Raw genomic sequence first — 8,149 nt, 5'->3', positions numbered from 1 at the left:
ATCCATTGGCACATGCAGCAGCATCAGTGGTTACTTGCAAATGAAATCCCTCTGGGGATCACTTCTGCCCTTCTTTCATCAGCCTAGGGGCCAGAATCCATGTGTCCTTCCCTGCGCCTCCTGAAGGGCTCTGTCTTCTAGTGTTAAATGCGCTAAAGACCACTAAAGGCTCCATAGGCTTCCCAGGGCTCTCTCCAAACCACCCTTTCACACCTTCCCTCTCTCTATACACCCTAGGCTTTTTTTCTCAAAGTAAACCAAGGCTGGAAGAGGAAAAAACAGTAAACCTCTTTTGAAAGAATTCACCTGCTTCTTCTCTTTTTTTCAGTTTGTCCCCAAATAGTTCCAAGCCAAATATATCTGTCACTAAAACAACAACAAATAAGTAACTTTAAAAATTTAAAAATCAAATTCATGATAAATGATTTTTATTAAATCTCTTATACGACTCTGGGATGATTTTAAGTGAAAAAACTGCAATGAAGAATACAATAATTGCTTGTCTTCATGCCAGGACAATAATGGTCTATTTTGATTCTCTTTCTGATTCGGTTCTTTCTTCAAGAACAAAAATGTGTACTAATTTAGGCAGGGAATTTGATCTGGGGAGGAAATGCATAAGGATGCTGAGGGAAAAATGAGCCAGGCACTTGGATTAGCAAAATCTAGAAAAACTGTAGTGTGGGAAAACTAACAAGCAAAGAAAAACACATGCTCCAAATATTTTGCAAGTTTAAGAGCCAATTGTTGACTGTGAAGAAATTCAGTCCTGGTAAATCTCCAAGCTTCTCTGCTTTCCATTTCTTCATACCAAACACAAACAAAACAAAACAAAAAACAAAAAACCCACAAAACAAAGAGGCAATTGGTAAAGGTAAAACTCTAACACTATGTGTTTTTTTCTACAATCTACTATCATAATCGACATATTATTAAGAATGTGCAGTCTCTGGTGCATTTTACTATATCATAGATGGTTCATTTCCCTGAATCTTTCTAAGATTATAAATTGAAAGTAGATTTATAGTTTTCATAGTCATAGGAATATTTGTCATTCCTCACAGAGAGAATTATTTATTTCTGTTGTCTAGAAAGCTGACCGATCGCATCAGTTTTACTTGGATGGAGGAAATTCTCTTTACATAGGAGAGACGAAAAGAGCCCAGGTCCCCTGCGGCATTAAACAGTATCTCCATTGCGCTGCATCTTCTATTTGTCCCTGCAGATCCACTCTGCATTCTTCTCCTTCTGCTCTGAATGGACTACATCAAAGGATCCTTTGCCTTCTGACTTCAACTTAGTTTGAATGGAGAATACCAAAAAAAGAATAAAGGAAGGAAGGAGTGTGGGATCAGGTATTTAATGTCCCTTTTCTCTTCCTAGAGGATCATCTGGAGAATCCTGGAGGATATAGATTGACTAAATCTTTCAACCAAAGGGGTCATAGCTAATGTCAGGCCACCCTCTTAACACAAATCAGTAAATCTCTATCTCTTTCTCCTCCTCTTTCCCTCCCCCTTCCTCCATTTCTCTATCTCTCTCTCTCTCTCTCATGACCATAATCTTAACAGCCTTGGGGTCTGATATGGTTTGGCTGTGTCTCCACCCAACTCTCACCTTGAAATGTAGCTCCTGTAATTCCCATGTGTCATAGGGGTGACCCTCTGGGAAGTAACTGAATCATGGGGGTGGGTCTTTCCTGTGCTGTTCTCATGATGGTGAATAAGTCTCATGAGAGCTGGTGGTTTTATAAAGGGGAATTCCCCTGTATACACTCTCTTGCCTGCCGCCATATAAGACATGTCTTTGCTTCTCATTTGCCTTCTGCCATGACTGTGAGGCCTCCCTAGCCATGTGGAACTTTGAGTCAATTAAACCTCTTTCCTTTATAAATTACCCAGTCTCAGGTATGTCCTTATAGCAGTGTGAGAATGGACTAATACAGGGTCCTTGCATGGCCTACCTTTCACCTAATTTATACCTTTAAAAGTTGTCTTTTACTGAACTTCCCTCTAATTATTCAATTTGAGTATGCCATCTCCTCCCTGCCAGGACCGTAAATGACACATTCACCTCTCCTCCAATGATCTCTTCCTTAGCTCCCCAATTATTACTGCTTTCTTAGTTTTAGCAATCAATATGAGCAATTTATTTATTGAAAAAGTAACGTACCTGGTTTATCTACAAGCCCTCACTACCTGTCACTCCACTGACCCTGCTGTCACTCACTGAAGTCACTGACAGGCACAATGCCAAATCCCTTACAAATAGCCTTCCTTACACTGCTGGTGCCCTTCAAAGCACAGGAGACTATTACTCACTGAATATTTTAGGTTCAGCTTCTTCTATGCCATTTTCTGCTTCCGTTTTCTTAAAAGCTCTTTTTGGTACTCCTGACTGAAATGATGTTGTTCTTCAAGTTTCTGTATTCAGTGTTCTGACTGTATGCAATTTCAGCAATAAGTATGGCTTCAACTGCCATTTACAGGCTGAAGCTTCCTAAATCTATAATTCCAGATCTCTCTGTTAATTCAAGGCCCCTATATCTAATAAATTTATTATCAACTCTAGTATGTTGATCAAATCAAACATGTCCATTTATTAACACATCTGTCTCTTCTTCTGAACTCTTTCATTTTAATGCATGTTAAAATCTCCAGCCTGAACATGCAAGACAAGAACACTGTGTTGTGGGCTGTGCCAGCTTAATCTCACTCCTAAGACTGAGGCCTGCATTTCCCCAGTTGCTACAGGAATGCTGACAACTCATTAATGTGTACTTCCCCAGGAAATGCCCTCAGCTAAAGGAATCTCTTTTACCCAAGCTTGTATCCCCTTCCTGGGGTAGCCCACATCCAGTGATTACTAAATATGGAGAACAAAGGCTCACCCTCATTGTCTCTACTTGGGGCCACTGTGATGGGCCATTGCAACTCCAGAGCTCCATGTAGCCTCCAGTGCCACTACATCACACTTCCACATCTCCCTTTGCCCAATTCCACTTCTTCCCTCACCCTCTTACAGGTGTTATTCCTAAGTTCTCCTCCATAAACTCCCTGCACAAAAATCTCTGCCGCTGTGTCTGCTTCCTGGGAGACCCAACCTCAGCTAGTGAGAACTTAGGGTCATTCTTGATGACTCCATCTTCCTCATCTCCTTCCTCCAATGGGTCACCCAGCCTGTGAATTCTCTCTTCTGAATAATCACCCTTTCTTTAAATCTCCACAGTAACTACCTTAATTCTGGTCTCCATTTAGTATCAAGATTATGACAATTATCTGCTAATGGTCTGCTTCACTCTGGCTTTTCTTTCCTCCATCTTATCAGAATTCTGCTGCTACAATGATCTTTGCAAATACATTCCATTACATCACTCTCCCGTTAAATTCCATCAGAACTTTAACAATCACCTTCAACTCTTCATAACTGAATTCTTGCCCATGTCTCTAGCTTCTCTTACTATGATGACTCCTGCTGCCACTATTCCTATCGTTAATGCTGCTACTGCTACCACTCACTCAGGCACTTATTAGGATGTGTAAAGAAAAAAGAGCCTTCCAGCTAAAATTTTCCTAATAGTTCATGCTTATGTATGTTTCCCTGTCTTTAAACGTGTTATTTCTCTTATCCAGTGTGTCTCCTCTAGCATACCCCATATTCCATCCACATGTCACACGTATTCCCTCTAGATCATCAATTCTCTCTTTTTTTTTTTTTTTTTTTTTTTTTGAGAAGGAGTCTCTCACTGTCACCCAGGCTGGACTGCAGTCACACAATCTCGGCTCACTGCAACCTCTGCCTCCCAGGTTAAAGTGATTCTCCTTGCCTCAGCCTCCCAAGTAGCTGGGATTACAGGCGCCTGCCACCATGCCTGGCTAATTTTTTGTATTTTTAATAGAGACATAGTTTCACTATGTACTCCTGACCTCATGATCTGCCCGCCTCGGCCTCCTAAAATGCTGGGATTACAGGCATGAGCCACTGTGCCAGGCCGTCAATTCTCAAACTATAAATGGGGATCTTGTTAAAATACAGGTTTTGATTTAGTAGAGCTGGGGCTGCAAAGCTGATGCTGTTAGTCCGGGGACGACACTTGTCACATCAAGGCTCAAGTTACCTCCTACTTAGTTGTCAGAAAACAGATATGGAGAGTATTAGTCATTATAGTGATATCTGAGTAGGGGGTGTTTACCTCTGCTACAATGTCTTACTGGATACTGTTTGCATTCTACTTGCCCAATAACACAGAACTTACACAGCCAGCGGGGAATATATCCAGGGTCTGGGAGGTACTTCATGGTAGCTGGTAATAGTTACTATTCTCCCAGATGGCAATCCCACTCACTGTAAATTATTTTACAGTGACAGTGGTCCCTAAGAGATCATCCATCCTGTCTAACAAAAAAGCAAATAAATACACTAGGAAAATAAAAACAGAATTAAGAATATCCCAGGCTAGAGTAGAGAAATATGCTTACTGCTTTCTTAAGTTGAGAAAGCAGTAAGTATATTTCTTGCTTATGTTACTGCTTGTCAGAGTTAAGCAACTTGTCAGAGCTAAGACATAGCAGTCATGAGACATATCACGCCACATCTCTTCCAGGAATTAATGACCATTATCTGTAATTGTTTGAGTCTTACTAATATACCATCAGGCAAGCTTCTAGACTAATGTCATTCTTGGAAGCCAGTGAAATTCATATTACAGATTTAAGGTCCTTTGATATAGTACCAATAACCCCTATATACTTCATCTTATTAAAACCATTATATATATTTCCATTGAGGCTTTTATAATAGTTCTTCTATGTAAAAGAAAAAAGATCAGGAAAAGAATAAATCAAGAATATTATAATAATTATCAAAGATGAAAATAATAAAAGGTATTATCAAAAATAGTAACTACATTATAGTGAAATAAATAATTCACCAGAATATGAGAAAAATTTGAATCTGTATGCATCTCAAAACATATATCTATGATATACAAAATAGAAATGTATATACCCATTACGAGAAATTCAAAAATTGATTGTTATAGCACATGTATCAATGAAGCAAATGTGGGAATGATAAACACTAACTTCCAAACAATGTTTACTTGGGAAAAAGGTGGAAAAAATGTATTTTTAAAAATATTTCTTTAAAAATGCAAAGATGTCTATTGCAAATAGTACATGTTGGCATCTGTTTAATCTCAATGAAAGGTAAAGCAGATTTCTGTTATATCATTTTTTGAATACTTAAAATGTTTTATTAATTTTTGGAAGGAATGTATGTAAGGTGATTTTGAATAGTAATATTAAAGCATTAACATTGTTGACTGTGTTTAGATTATCATCATCTAGATAGGACATCACACCCAGTCTTAAGAATCTGTAAGTATAGTAAGGCAATATCATTTAGCAGTTAGTTGAGAATATTAGCAAGTTCTTGTAATTCATTTTAAGTCAGAGATGGGTATCAGTATCTTTGAGCCATGCCTTATTAAATTTCCCTCTTTTGTTGACACTATAGTGATGTGACAATTAGTCAGGTTTGATTACAGAATCCCAAGGCCCCTGGAGTGAGTCTGCATGTTAGTGGTAGGCCTAAAGAGTTAGTTTTTTTGGTTGATGTTTTGAATAAAACCATCTGTAACTTTAGCTGGGGCCCCGCTGTGTGCATCTGGACTTCTGCCTCTTAATATAATCATTAAATGTTTTTCCAGTTTATTTTTGGTTAACTTATTCCCTGGCTTTGACTGGACTTTGTCTTTTTTTTTTTTTTTTTTTTTTTTTTAATCCAAAGGCTGTCCTTTTTAGAGTGGCTTAGAGAATAATTGCTGTAAGTCAGGAATGGATAGAGCAGATTGCTTTACAAATAATGGTTTCCTCTCCTTCCTGGGTGGGACTCAGGGGCTCAGAGGCTGCAACTAACTGGGGCCTTGATATTCTCTCTTTTCTTAAGTGTCTGTCAAATTAAGGGATCAATGAAAAGTGTCCTTCCTACAGGATGTTCTTGGTTCCTGTCCCACAACTTTCATCAACGCTACCATAAGGTCCTAGACAGACCCCTGACAGGTTCCCAGGCAAGAGGAAGCTTCTTGTGGAGTAAGGGAACATCTACCCACTCTCCTCTTTATATTCATACCACCCTGTTCCATAAGAATCGTCAGTGTTCCCGCTGAAAGTTTCAGGACACTCTCCCTTGAGTGGAGCTGCACTCATATTTTTATTGGAGATTCCACAACTACTACTGCTTACATGGTCTTTGTATATCACCACTCTATACTTTTCTCTATCACACTAAGCCAGGTATGTGGATTTTTAGTATTAATTGTGTCGTTAACTAGTTAGAACGCATTGATTAAGTTATTTTCTCCCTCCATGGCTCGGTTACTGCTGAGTTACTACTCAGGAATATAAATAAAAACATCAGATTAGACTTTTGTATGGTTTACTACCTGCGTCTTTTTGAGGAAAAAAGCTATAAAATAGTTCTGACATATTTCTATGGTTCATTTCATTATTTGTATCTTTTTGAGATAAAAAGCTATGAATAGTTTTAACGTACAAAAATGCATAAATAATAACATTATTAACAATTTTGTGTGCAACACTCCATGTTACAAAATATGGTTGAAACCTCTCATAGTCTATTTTCTCCATGTAGTAGTAAGAACCTGAGGGCAAATCGGTTAGGTTGTTCCTATATTTGTTCTGTTGATTCCAGAAGTCCTGCTAGATTTACTAATTTTGTTGGGTTTGAATTTTTTTTAATTCTAAAGATTTCTATATAATTTCCTCTATACGTATAAATTTGCCTGGGAGCTTCTTAGAACACCTAAACAGGTGTGTTTATTACCCATCTATCTCCATTTCTAGTTACCAAAACAAAAGAAGGTAAATTAGCTCAGCTGACATGGGGGAAGAAAGGAGACCCCTCAGATATCAAGACAAATCTTAGAATTAATGGATTTGTAAGGAGATGAGAAAGAAGCTGGATTTTGTCTCAGTGATTAACTGAAAAGAATCTTGGTGAAATTTTTCTGCTCCTGAAGGTTTCATTCTCTCAGCGGGATATTGTCTAATACATAAAATGATAGGTGGTGTACTATGGACACCACCTGATAGGTACAAATCCATAACAGGAGACCATTCTCTCATTTATCTGGGGGTCGCACTGTCCCCTCTTTGGAATTTTGACCTCTGCCTCGACAGGTGGATTTTACTTAAACAGTTTGCCAACACCCCCCGCCAACATATTTAAGTCCCATAAAGTTGCATATTTGCAGCTAATGCCCTTTTCTGTCATCAACTTAAAAAAAAATTTGTGTGTGCAAACACAGACACAGTTTTCACTAATATGTGTCATCTAATTCATACATGCCCAGTACGTAACACATGAACAACAAAAATATTTGTACAGCTCTTCTGAACTGAACGTGAACTGTTTACTTCCATGGGTAAAAAGATTTCCCCCTAATCCTTTCTACCACTGGCAAAGGGAAACAATATATCAGAATCAGCCAGTGACCATTTTCAATCAGGCAACTTCCTTCTGGGAACTTGAATATATCATGCTTGCCTTTACCCAAGTTTATAAAATCACAGCCATTTGAGCCACTTTTACTGACAAATCTTTTTATTGACTATGTCAGGATAAAAAAAAAAAAAAGCTGATCTATATTCTGATTCTGCTTTAATTGTAAGCAGTCAATTAAACTCCCTTCAGAATCAATTTTCCTAACTGCAAAAGGGGCTAAACGATCTTATCCTTTAACGTTCCTTAGCAATAGGAAATATTAAATCAGTGGAGTTTGAGTCAGATCCATGGTTTTTCATCCTAATTCTGTCATTAACTAGATAGCACTGATTGAATTAGTTGCTCTCCCCAGGACTCGGTTACTGCTCAATAAATAAATAAATAAATAAATACACAAAAACATCAGATTAGACTTTTCTACGCTCATTTCACTGTCTGTATCTTCCTGAGAATAAAAGCTATGAAGTAGTTTTGACATACAAAAAGGCATAAATAATAGTATTATAAACAATTGCGTATTCAGCACCCAAAGTCACAAATGTGGTTGAAACCTCTCTTGTAGGTTTCTTAAGTGTATGCCCCAATTTCCATCAGGGTTGCCCTACAACGAGTTTAGTTTTCT

At 38.1% G+C, this 8,149-nt stretch overlaps 1 long non-coding RNA gene across 1 annotated transcript; it reads right to left on the bottom strand.

The window, feature by feature from the left end:
• Window positions 1-411: 411 nt before the first annotated feature.
• On the bottom strand, window positions 412-3,298 carry LOC102725080 (uncharacterized). The gene is made up of 2 exons (NR_134450.1): window positions 3,236-3,298; window positions 412-1,296 (listed from the first exon to the last, which is right to left on the bottom strand). It is a non-coding gene; the product is annotated as an uncharacterized LOC102725080 (long non-coding RNA).
• Window positions 3,299-8,149: the final 4,851 nt, after the last annotated feature.

The sequence above is a fragment of the Homo sapiens genome, chromosome 8, assembly GCF_000001405.40.
Source record: "Homo sapiens chromosome 8, GRCh38.p14 Primary Assembly".
Lineage (NCBI taxonomy): Eukaryota > Metazoa > Chordata > Mammalia > Primates > Hominidae > Homo > Homo sapiens.
Note: the sequence above shows the minus strand (reverse complement) of the source record. Positions and strands in the feature narration are given on the sequence as shown.